At 50.7% G+C, this 11294-nt stretch overlaps 1 protein-coding gene and 1 long non-coding RNA gene across 8 annotated transcripts in view, besides 5 other annotated features; one reads left to right on the top strand and one right to left on the bottom strand.

Moving 5' to 3' along the window:
* Positions 1 to 1181: 1181 nt before the first annotated feature.
* On the bottom strand, positions 1182 to 2436 carry TIAM1-AS1 (TIAM1 antisense RNA 1). The gene is made up of 2 exons (NR_171013.1): positions 2074 to 2436; positions 1182 to 1652 (listed from the first exon to the last, which is right to left on the bottom strand). It is a non-coding gene; the product is annotated as a TIAM1 antisense RNA 1 (long non-coding RNA).
* Positions 1997 to 2809: an enhancer, noted in NCBI's record as "H3K27ac hESC enhancer chr21:32931173-32931985 (GRCh37/hg19 assembly coordinates)". NCBI's record gives its function as "activates a minimal SCP1, AML or CMV promoter by ChIP-STARR-seq in naive H9 embryonic stem cells {active_cell/tissue: H9 hESC(naive)}" and the evidence as "EXISTENCE:reporter gene assay evidence [ECO:0000049][PMID:30033119]".
* Positions 2088 to 2717: a silencer, noted in NCBI's record as "silent region_13240". NCBI's record gives its function as "represses an Ori minimal core promoter by ATAC-STARR-seq in GM12878 lymphoblastoid cells {active_cell/tissue: GM12878}" and the evidence as "EXISTENCE:reporter gene assay evidence [ECO:0000049][PMID:35858748]".
* TIAM1 (TIAM Rac1 associated GEF 1) overlaps positions 2582 to 11294 on the top strand; it is a 440670-nt gene continuing 431957 nt past the window's right edge. For 6 of the 7 annotated variants that reach the window (NM_001353690.1, NM_003253.3, NM_001353688.1 and 3 more), the window contains exon 1: positions 2582 to 2742. The gene's annotated coding sequence lies outside the window, so the exon portion shown is untranslated. Of the gene's footprint in view, positions 3082 to 11294 lie in introns of all 7 variants that reach the window. The other variant, NM_001353693.1, reaches the window with a different exon arrangement.
* Positions 3623 to 4436: an enhancer, noted in NCBI's record as "H3K27ac-H3K4me1 hESC enhancer chr21:32929546-32930359 (GRCh37/hg19 assembly coordinates)". NCBI's record gives its function as "activates a minimal SCP1, AML or CMV promoter by ChIP-STARR-seq in naive H9 embryonic stem cells {active_cell/tissue: H9 hESC(naive)}" and the evidence as "EXISTENCE:reporter gene assay evidence [ECO:0000049][PMID:30033119]".
* Positions 6808 to 7527: an enhancer, noted in NCBI's record as "OCT4-NANOG-H3K27ac hESC enhancer chr21:32926455-32927174 (GRCh37/hg19 assembly coordinates)". NCBI's record gives its function as "activates a minimal SCP1, AML or CMV promoter by ChIP-STARR-seq in naive H9 embryonic stem cells {active_cell/tissue: H9 hESC(naive)}" and the evidence as "EXISTENCE:reporter gene assay evidence [ECO:0000049][PMID:30033119]".
* Positions 7528 to 8247: an enhancer, noted in NCBI's record as "H3K27ac hESC enhancer chr21:32925735-32926454 (GRCh37/hg19 assembly coordinates)". NCBI's record gives its function as "activates a minimal SCP1, AML or CMV promoter by ChIP-STARR-seq in primed H9 embryonic stem cells {active_cell/tissue: H9 hESC(primed)}" and the evidence as "EXISTENCE:reporter gene assay evidence [ECO:0000049][PMID:30033119]".

Here is an 11294-nt window from a genome sequence, read left to right as displayed (position 1 = left end):
GGCTGGAGTGCAGTGGCGCAATCTCGGCTTACTGCAACCACTGCCTTCTGGGTTCAAGCAATTCTCCTGCCCTCAGCCTCCTGAGTAGCTGGGACCACAGGAGTACACCGCCATGCCCGGCTAATTTTTTGTATTTTTAGTAGAGACGGGGTTTCACCGTGTTGCCCAGGCTGGTCTCAAACTCCTGAGCTCAGGCAATCTGCCCATCTTGGCCTCCCAAAGTGCTAGGATTACAGGAGTGAGCCACCGCGCCTGGCCAGCACATTGTTAATATTAACTCATTCATCCTCGTACCAACTGTATGTGGTATGAAGCACTATTGTTATCTCATTTATATAAATGGGGAAACCGAGGCACGGAGGCCTGAAGTAACTTGCCCTAGGTAACAGCTAGAAAGGAACCGGGCCTGAAATTAGGCAGCCTCACTCCAGGGTCTGTTCTTTTAAGGATGGCCAGATGTACTTCTAAACTTCCTTAGGGAAAAACCCTCTACTCATTTTCAAATATATGTATTTCCCCTAGATGGTGGCTTGTAACAGGTAAAGAAATGGCTCTTTGTCCTGGGATGAAAAGCTTCTCAAGGGAATTATTCTCCATTCCAAGCTGTTGGCTGAAACGAGGCTGGTTTTGGAAGGGGTGTCTTTGGAAAATCTCTCAAACTTGACTCAAAAACCTCCCTGTAATACTGATCATGGAACCTGGTGGACGCATCCGTTCAAGAGCTACCATGCTACCCATTCTTCTCAAACTGATGTTTTAGAAGCACTTCAAATCCTTAAAGCTCTTGCCTATAATTATAGCTCCTCTATAATTCATGGATTCCATGTTTTTTCAGTGCCCCAAATGTGCCAAACACTGTGCTAGGACTGGGATCCAGCAGGGAAGATAGATAAGATTCCGGCTTCCATGGAAGGCTGCAGTGCAACAGGCAACTTCAGCCCCGTGTCATACAGGCCTGTGAGGGGAGCACAGGGGGTGGAAGCACTGGAAGTGGAAATGTGGCATCTAACCTTGACAGGGTACAGGAGGCTTCCCGGGGTCTGTAAGAGCAGTAGTTCAGCAATGCCTACTGCATGGATGCCTTGGCGGCCAAGCTGGGATCTGAAGAAGGGTAGGAATTAGTGAAGTGAAGGGAGGGGCTGGGGGTTGACGTGTTCTGGGGAAAGAAAAGAGACCCAGAGTTGGGAGCGCAAAATGAGATTTTTCTGCTTAGAAGGATCATTCTGCAAAGTGGAGAACAGATTTCAGGGGGCAAGGCCTGGGACAGAAGGACGATGGGAGCCCTTTACTGAGGTCCAGGTGAGACAGGATGGGAGGAATGGGTTTGGGAGGTTAACAAAAATGGATGGGAGAGGGTTAAGAAGAAGGAGGAATCAGGGATGACTTTCAATTTTCCGGTTTAGGTTTATCTTCCACAGCGTGGGCAATTCTTTTTGTTTTCAACAAGATCACCCCGGGAGCGCAGACCTTCCCAGCTCCCGGGGCGAACACGTGTGTATGGAATCAAGGTGTAAGGAACATACATCCCAGCCTTTGTTGTAAATGGGGAAGTCTAGAGCTCTTCAGGAGAGGAGGAAGCTCCGGCCTCGTGTAGGGAAAGGTTTCGCTCGAGGCTGTACCGCCAGCGTCTCCGTTTCCGCGTTCTCCACAACCTTGCGAGAGGTAAACTGCAACTGTAGTTTCCGGATTTTACAGAGGAGCCCAGGAGGTCTGCGTGAACCCTGCCCGAGTCACTTACTCTGCCCAGCAGGTAAGCGTAAGGCCCAAACCCCACGCTGTTATTCCAAGTTCGCTTGCTGGGCACGGTAAGTGAACCCTGGGAGTCCTGGACTCTGGTGAAGGCCACCATGCCCTACCTGGAGGCTGCTCAGGGTCTAACATCCTCTAGCATCCACGGGAAGGGATTGCGTTAGGATTTTTTTCTCTCGTAAAAAAGTTCCTGTCTCCCCCTAGAGCCAGGCACACGCCTCCCGCGCCAGACCACTTGTCCCAGGCACAACATTTTTTGACTCTTCGCCTCCCCCGTTTCGATCCCCCTTCCTCTCCGCCTTAGGTGGCAGGAAAATCCTTTACCTCCGACCAATCCCACCGATGCCGAGCCGCGCGCGCGCGCCAACTAGAGCTCCGTCTGTGCACGCCATTGGCCACCTCCACCTATGCGAGATGACAGGCAGCTTCGCGGACCTATCGCCGAGGGAGGCAGAGGCCTCCGGCCCTCCCAAAGCTGCTTTGTTAGGGGCTCCCTGGTCGTCCCCCGGCCCGCCGCGCCTCCGCTGCCTGCGGGCGATCTCCCCGGGCCGCGCTGACGGAGCCTCGCAGGAAGGCATCTCTGGAGCGCGCGCCGCCCGCGCCCCTCCAGCCGCGCGCTCCGAGCCTGGCTGCGGCGCGGATACCCGGCGTGCGCCCATAGTCGCTCTACAGCCCAACTCCGAACGCCCCGCTCCTGCATCCACCGCCTCGGATTGGCTGGCCGGAGGCGGAGCGATTGTCAGGCGGCCCAATCGGAGCTCGGTTTCCCACGGGCTCCCGCGGCCCGGCCCCCGAGGCCGCAGGCGGAGGGGCCCTGACAGCTCCGATTGGCAGACCACGAGCGGGTTCGAGCGCGGCCGGCAGAGCAGCGCCGCCGCCGTCGGGCGCGCAGCTCTGCAGCTCCGCGGACGCCTTGGCGCCCGCAGCCCCAGGGGCACGGCTGCCCCGCATCGTGCCCGGCCCCGTCGCGGAGATCCCGGACGACCGTCGCGGGTGAGTACCGCGGGCCTGGGGTGCGCGGGCGTCCGGCCGGAGCCGCCCCGGGAGACGGCGGCGAGGATGCCCGGAGCCTCGGTGCCCGTGCCGGGCACGTTCTGACCCCCGTCTCCCGCACACTGGGGCTCCCGGCGGGTCCTAGCTCCCCCCGATCGGGCTTTCCACGTATTGTTTTCGTGTTCACACACTTGGGAGGTGGGGAGATGCGGGGAGGAGAGGCAGGAGGAGGCATCCCTCGCGCGAAGGAGGGAGACGAGACCGTGCAGCCCAGGTGCCTTCGCTGGATGGAAATGACAGCGTCCGGACGTCGGCATTCGGTCCTCTCGGCAGCAGGAGGTCAGCGCTGACCTGCGGCGGCCGCGGCACTTTGTATTTTATCGGCTGATTTTTGTCAACTTCGGGGAGGGCGTGCTTGTGCATCCTTGTGTCTATGTTTGCGTCTCGGTCCCTGACTTAGGCACCTCCGGGCCTGGCTTTTCGGCGACGCGTCCTGGGCGCTCACCTTGGCGATCCGTGCCGCCCTCGGGGCCGGGCTCACCGGGCGGAAAGCCCGGGGGCCGGCGCACGGAGCTGGGGACCCGCGACGAACCCCCGGAGGGGGGCATTAAAAGCGGAATCCTGCGGGTGCGCAGACAATGCCTCATCCGGGCGGTCGGGTCCCGGGGACTGTGCCCTGGGTCCCCGCGCCCTATCCCGTCCCCGCCTCGCCCTCTCACCAGCTCTGCCGCTGCGATGCTGCTGCGCCGCGCCCCTCGCCACCCGGCTGGGGACCCGCGTGGGGCCCGCTTTTGTTTACAGACCTCGCCATTGGGCGAGAGCAGCGCGCCGTGCGCCCCCCAGCCCCGGCGGCTGCCGCTTGCCCCCTCGAAACCTGGAGAAGTTGTTGCGCGCTGTCAGGTGACGCCCCCTCCCCCCGGCCGCGGGGCGGGATGCTGCAGGGGAAAGATGCCGTCTCGGCGCCTTCGCGCCCAGCCCCCGCCGCGCACGGCGCCTCTAGGTCCCCTGCACCCGGGGGCGCCCGTGTCCCAGCCTGGGGTCCAGGCTGGCGGCCCTCGGGGCGCCGACTCGGCCACACTCACCCGGTTCCAGTCGTCGCGTCTCCTGGTCTTGCCCCCGGGTCAGCCCTGGTTGACTCGGAGCCTGCCTTTTCCCGCGCGCTGGCAGGTCTTGAAGGACGTGCGCGAGCCCTTGGGGACACTGTGCAGTCTGTGCCCGCCTCGGTGACACCCGCGCGGCCCCGCAGGGCAGCTGTGCCGCATCCCGAGTCAGAGCCGTCCGGATCGGGTTACCCATGCACGCTGACTTGGCGCATACTTTGAGTTGGAGCAGAGGTTTAGAGCCTGTGCGCTGAGGTCAAACAAACCCGGGTTCCAGTACCTGCTCGGTGTCACTCACAAGCTGGGTGATCCCGGCCGAGCTATTCTATCTTCCTGTGTCTCAGTTTGCGCATCTGTAAAGTGGGGATAAGGAATAACCTCTAGGGGGGCGGGGCTTAAACGACCATATAGATTAACCTCAAAGCACAGTGACAGCCACGTATGAAATATTAGAGTCCTGTTGATTCTGTGTTAGAGGAAATCTGTAATAGAGGATGGCCCCTTGTCGCTTTCCTTTTCTGCGTTCTTCACTCCCCCAGCCCCAATTTCTTTTTATTATAAAAGGCATGAAGGACTGCTGTTCTCAGCTTCAAACAGGACTTGTTTTACTTGGCCTTAGGTTTAATTAGATTTATCTAATCGCTTGCAGCCCTTTTAAAAATGTGTTTGAATTTCCATTAGGTTTTAGTTGTTTCTTCTTTCTTCTTCAAGATTCTGCTGGGACCCAGACCTGGGTTTGGAGAAGGAAAAACCCTTCCAGGTGGAAAGCAGTTGCCAGTGAACCAAGGACTGCTGTGGAAAGTGATTAAGTCCAGGAAGGAGGGAGGTTTGAACAAAGAGATGTCTGGAGGTTAGGAGGGAACACTTTCTAGGAGAGATGAAATTTAAGCTATGCCTTGTAGCTGAAGAAGTTTGGTAAATTGTTGGTTTCCAGCATATGCTTTTTTGTATCTCAAGGTAAAAAGCTGGGCTAGGGAGGGTGGATGCCTTTGCGTGGTAAACACCGACGTTGCTAAGTAATTATCTTTGAATAGAGGAGAAATAAAACTTAAGGAAGAGGCTGTTGACTAAGCAGGGAAGGTAGAAGAGAATCAATTTCATTGAATATCTTCAAAATGTTGTGAATGTGTTTTGAGTTGTTTTTCCTCCACTAGCTCTGCACTGCTACTTTTCTTTAGGCAAAAAGAGAAATCAGTTTCATATAGAAATAAACAACACAAAATAATAACAGTCCATAATCAGATCAGATGATCTCAGGCTTAACGACAAAGATTTTATTGAAAAAAAAAAACTTCCTGTTTTAACACCCTTTTGCCTGTTGGAATAAATTATTGGGTCCAACAACACATTCTTTGAATGTAGGCCCCAGGGGCCTTTGCCAGCCAAAACAGGCAAACAAACAAACATAAACTCGACTTGTAGGCTGTCCAGTGGTTGGAGAAGCCCTCAGGATTGCGCTCTGTCTCTTCCGTTCCCCTGGGCCTGCCTCAGTTACCCCGAGTGGAATCTGACTCCCGTGAACCCCTATTCGGCTGTTGATGTGGAACGCGGCCAGTAGCATTGTTGCTAGATGTCAATTAATAAATATGATAACCTATTTAAAGTTGAACTCTCAGAAATGATTCTCATCCTTCTTGTACTTGTTCTGGGAATTCTCGCGCCCTTAGGGATGCTGAAGGCCTCTTTCCCCCCTGCTGTTGTGTGGGGATCAAATCAGTTGGGGGCCTAGACTTAAAAGGGAGCACGTGGTTAGGAAATCTCATTAGCTGACAATTTAACTCCACTCTAATGCTCGTCCAAAGAGCCCGGACAAAGACTTCCTCTCCTTTCCCTTTGCAGTTCTTTCTCCTTGCTCCTCTCTTCTCCCCTCCCCCTCTAAACCAGAAAGGAAAAGCAGCGTTGGGCCTGTCTCCTTCCCCCCAGATTCCTGCAGTTCTAGTGTGCCGACTGAAACCCTGGAGCCCTGAGCAGGAATTCCTTGGGAGAGTTTGCTGAGGGCCTACTAGGTGCATGTATTAACACTTCTGCGATTTCTGCAAGGATCATACTGTCTAAAGGAGAAACACGTTTTGTGAGACAACACTTTCATAGATGTGCAGTAGAAGCCTCTGGTTTTTCCAAATGAGGAAGGCAGGTGAGAGCATGGGAACCACATCAAAGCCTTGCCTAGAAATCTGTGCCGGGAGAGGGGGCTTCTGTCTGCTTGAGGAGGGCAGAGGAGTGGGAGTGAGAAGCCAGGAAGAAAATTCTGTTCCTCTGGGCCAGGTTACAGATTCTCATGAAAGTGCTGAACACCACGGACTCAGGCTCGTGGTTAAGAAAGAGCCTCGTTTTACGATCTCCAGTCATTTGGTCTTCTGTATCAAAAACACACTTTCACTGGGGATGTGTGTGTGTATGTTATATACACACATGTATATTTACATGTACATTTTCTTTCTAAATTAAGCAAACAGGTAGAAGGTATGTTTCTAAGGGTAACTCTCCTTTTGTTTTTCCCTCAATTCTGGACCAGAAAAATCAGATTAGCAGGGCTCTAGTAAACGTTTCTGTTTTTCCCAATTCCAAACTTCAGGTCTTTTCATCTCTAAGTACTCCATTTTATATAAGCTATAACTCCTGTGTAAAAAAAAAAAAAAAGAACAAATTCTCTCTCATCATCATTGTAGGCCAAATCATTTATTAAAAAAATAATAAAAGAGACATTCAGAAATAAAGCAGTACTCAGCAAGGAACAGAGTGTTTTTTAAAATAAAACAATGTTCTAGTGTAAAAGGGTACACGATATTAATAGTTAGGTGGAGTTTTCCCCTTCCATTCCCTTCCCAGCCTCTGGCACCGTCCTCCACACCCTCCAGCATAAGACCTTCCCTGTTCCTGTGGTCTCCAGGGACCTCATTAAGAAATTCATAAGGGCCTAGACTGTGGGCATGGGAAGCCGCAGAGATTCCTCCAGTGCGTGTGTGAGATTCTTCTAGAAGACCTTGAAGCTCTTTCACTAGGTGAAGAGGTTCTTCTCCCTCTGGGCTGAGGCAGAGCTGGGAGACTGCATCCTACCACGGAGCCCTGGAGTGGGGTCTCAGCTCACTGAAAGGATTGCAGAGGTGGAGGGGGTGGGGGTACTACGCAGGCATGATCTGAGAGCCGATCAATTGTCTGCTTTCAGAGGATGTTAAACAAAGAGTGATGATTCATCGAAGAACTCTGTGGGAGGAAGTTTCTTTCAGCTGAGCACAATCTCAGTTTCAGAATGGGCCCAGGGCCCTTTGAGGCTTGGTCCTGTCACCAAGTATTTCTTTCCTTAAAGGAAGACTTGGGTGTAGTTGGAGTGGGGGCATCCTAGCCTTTTGGAACCTAGCAAAACTGAAGTATAATATGGATGTTTTCTGTTTGGGACCACTTTGAATTCATGAAAGAAAGATGAAAGGGAGGGGGAAGTGTCTTTGGTTTTAAGAAAATAACACCTGTATTATTTATTCCAGCTTCTGCCCCGCTAGAGTATGATTTTATTAAAGAGCAAAGGACTCTAATGCAGTTGTGCTGGGAAAAAGATATAATTGGGAGGCAGTGGGGCTGAGTGTCCAAGCTTGGAATGGGTGGAGAAACTGATTGGAGATTGGGCTATGAGGATTCAGTTGCTTTTCCTTAAAGACCCAAAACACGCTTCTCTGTGACCATGAGGAAGACAGGATATCCTGCCAAAAAATCCTGGCTTTGCAAAGCCTGTTTCCAAAGGAGCGTTCTCCTGCCTCCCTTCCACTGTCCCTCCCACCTTGCCTGAGAGCTGCTAACCTTGTAAACATAGGTCAATCCATCAATCCTAGTTCCTGCTCTTGGTTTCCTCTGCCCACTCTGCAGGGGTAATAATGAGCCCCAGAAAGCCACCGCGTCATCTGGGGGCAGGGGGAGGTCACGATGAGGAGTGGGTCTTGGAATCCTCTTCGCTAGGGGAAGGGGAGATGTCAGGACCATGGAAATGGGGTGAACAGGATTTGCTACCCATTGCTTGCTCAGGAGGGAAGGTGGGATCGGGACAATAGTGACGTCTGCTTGTTGAGGGGCCTTGAGGTAGGGGTGAGGGTCTGACCTGCAAAACCTCTCCTCTGAGCCTTGTTGGAGGCCTCCATTGTCTGTTGGGAAAGATTGCAGCCCCAGGCCTCACCTTCCAGGGCTTCTTCAGATCCTGGGGCAAGATCTCTATCAACCCAACCCTCTTTTGGCCATCACCTGGGCTGGGTGGCCGCATTCCAGGCAAATGATAATTTCTTGCAGGAAAGTCCAGGAGGGTCTCATGAGCTCGTTCCCACTCACTCTTTGGGCAGTGTTTTCAGAGGCTCAGAACCACGGGGTTTATTCTTGCCATGACCTTCTGTGGGTTTTGTTTTGTTTGAAACTTAACAGGACCCTCACCCAACCAACTGGAGTAAAGTGTAAGTTCTTTCCTTCTTGCAGAATGTGCATCTCCATCTCCTCACAGGACACAGGATATCTTTGGAAAGTGATAATTTGGAGGGCAAGTTCTTTAGCATAATATGGGCTACCTGGGTACTGATAACCACAGGGTGCATCTCCACACTGCTAAGGCCCCAAGCTCCGTGGGGTACCCCAGGACACTCCTCCTCATGCCTGTTGCCTGGTGTCATTATTAATTCTACCACCTGACATGCTCAAAAATGACCCACTTTGGTCTCTCAGAATCCTGTGTCCCAAGTGTCCCAGCTGTAACTCTGAGTATGTTTTAAATAACTCTATCTAGTACTGTTCTGATGGCAGATTCTGCTTTGTTCTAGTGGTTAGCAGCATCTGCCTTTTGGTTTCAAAGTGTGTTCTAACTGGGGTCGGCTGTGCTTGTTGGTGGAGAGATGAAGGCGGTGCCACGTGCACTTCCTTTCACCTGAAATTTTCTTTGGATTCCAGAGTTATTAAGGTATTTGGATGCTCATTCTTGCCATGGCAGAGTTTTGACCTTTTTATGATGATTCTTACTGTCTGCCCTACATGTGGTGTGGTAGGGACTTTCAACAGGTTTCTTATTCTCTCTCTTTTTTTCTTTTTGGAGATAGAGTCTTACTCTTGTCACCCAGGCTGGAGTGCAGTGGCACAATCTCGGCTCACTGCAACCTCCATCTCCCAGGTTCAAGCAATTCTTGTGCCTCAGCCTCCCTAGTAGCTGTACAGGCGCCTACCACCATGCCTGGCTAATTTCTGTATTTTTAGGAGAGGCAGGGTTTCACCATGTTGACCAGGCTGGTCTCGAACTCCTGACCTCAGGTGATCTGCCTGCCCCGGCCTCCCAAAGTGCTGGGATTACAGGTGTGAGCCACCGCGCCTGGCGGAGGTTTCTTGTTAAGGATCCAGCCTACATCTCTCAGCTACCTTTGTAGTAGGGACGCAGTTTTTGTCTATCAAACTTGAGTTGGTTTTGCTTAAATCACACTTAATTCACAATTTTACTCAGTAGTAATGATCTAGTTTAATATTTTTTCTGACATAAATTATATTTTTATTTCATGCAGATACTTCGACTCAAGTAATGCAAAGTTCGATTTGATTGTAAAAATAATGTGCAGGCTGGGTGCTGTCTCTACTAAAAATACAAAAATTAGCTGGGTGTGGTGGCGCACACCTGTAATCCCAGCTACTCAGGAGGCTGAGGCAGGAGAATTGCTTGAACCTGGGAGGTGGAGGTTGCAGTGAGCCGAGATCACGCCACTGCACTCCAGCCTGGGTGACAGAGTGAGCCTCCGTCTCAAAAAAAAAAAAAAAAAAAAAAAAAAAGTAGTGCAGAGTAAAAATTCCATATAGCATTAAGAGACTCAGAACAGATGCGCTTCTCTTGAAAAGTATTGTAACAGTCTTCTGCCCCGGTCCTGTTTTATTCCCATCCAGCCTGATATTCTCTGGAAACAATTACATTTGTTCATTTTTGTTTTTAGTGCTTCTAGTGATTATCTTTATATCTCTAAATAGTATGAATATATGATTTAATTCTCAGCTTCCTGTTATAATGAGTGGCAATTGCATCTCACCTACTTCCTTCATTCTCCACATTTTTTGATAATTATACTTATGGTTCTTTTTTTCTTTTCTTTGAGATAGGGTCTCGCTCTGCTGCCTAGACTGTAGTGCAGTCACGGCTCACTGCAGCCTCAAGCACCCAGGCTCAAGCGATCCTCCTGCCTCAGCCTTTGGAGTAGCTGGGACTACAGGTGCATGCCAGTATGGCCGGCTAATTTTTTAATTTTTTGCTATAGAGATAGGGGTTCTACTATAGTGCTCAGGCTGGTCTTGAACTCCTGGACTCAAGCGATCCTCCTGCCTCAGCCTCCCAAAGTTCTGGATTACAGGTGTGAGCCATGGCATTTTTTTTAATGGTTCTTTTTCTTTCTTTCTTTTTCTTTTCTTTTTTTCTTTTTTGAGACAGAGCCTCGCTCTGTTCCCCAGGCTGGAGTGCAATGGCATGATCGCGGCTTGGTGCAATCTCTCCACCTCCCAGGTTCAAGCAGTTCTCCTGTCTCAACCTCCCAAGTAGCTGGGATTACAGGTGTGAGCCACCACGTCCAGCCGTGGTTCTTTTTCTTTTTTCTTTTATTCTTGTTTTTGTTTTTGTTTTGAGATGGAGTCTCACTCTGTTGCCCAGGCTGGAGTGCAGTGGCATGATCTTGGCTCACTGCAACCTCTGCCTCCCAGGTTCAAGCGATTCTCTTGCCTCAGCCTCCCAAGTGGCTGGGATTACAGGCACCTGCCACTGTGCCTGGCTAATTTTTTTTGTATTTTTAGTAGAGACTAGGTTTCACCATCTTGGCCAGGCTGGTCTTGAACTCCTGACCTCATGATCCACTCTCCTCCAAGCCTCCCAAAGTGCTGGGATTACAGGCGTGAGCCACTGCGCCTGGCCTTATGGTTCTTGAATTGATTATTCTTCAGTCTTTATATTACTGACATAGACCTTTAATTTAGTTACATCAACCAATGACAGTGACTTTTAATCCCTCCCTGCCCTTGTGAAATTAGAAATGGATGTCCTGATCTTCTCTTTTTCTCCTTAACTTTCTTCCTGGCTCTACCCCCAGCTCCGTCAGCAGTCAGGAGTGGTAATGTTGTGTTGGTACATTGTATTTCTGTAATCATGATTAAGTCTTCTAGGTTTTCTCTATAGATTGTTTTTATTTTTATGACAGTATTATTAAGATATACTTCCACCTCTTTTTAAAGTAGACATTTCAGTGGTTTTTGATAAATTTACAGAGTTGTACAACCATCACCACAGTCGATTTTAGGACACTTTCATCACCCCAAAAGAAACCCTGTACCCATTCACAGTCACTTCCTTTCTCTACCCTTCCTCCCAGCACTTGGCTACCACTAATCTACTTTCTGTCACCATGGATTTGCTTAGTCTGGACATTACCGAGAAATAGAATCCTATAATATGTGGTCTTTTGTGACCGG

This window comes from Homo sapiens, chromosome 21 (genome assembly GCF_000001405.40).
Source record: "Homo sapiens chromosome 21, GRCh38.p14 Primary Assembly".
In the NCBI taxonomy this organism is placed as follows: Eukaryota; Metazoa; Chordata; class Mammalia; order Primates; family Hominidae; genus Homo; species Homo sapiens.
Note: the sequence above shows the minus strand (reverse complement) of the source record. Positions and strands in the feature narration are given on the sequence as shown.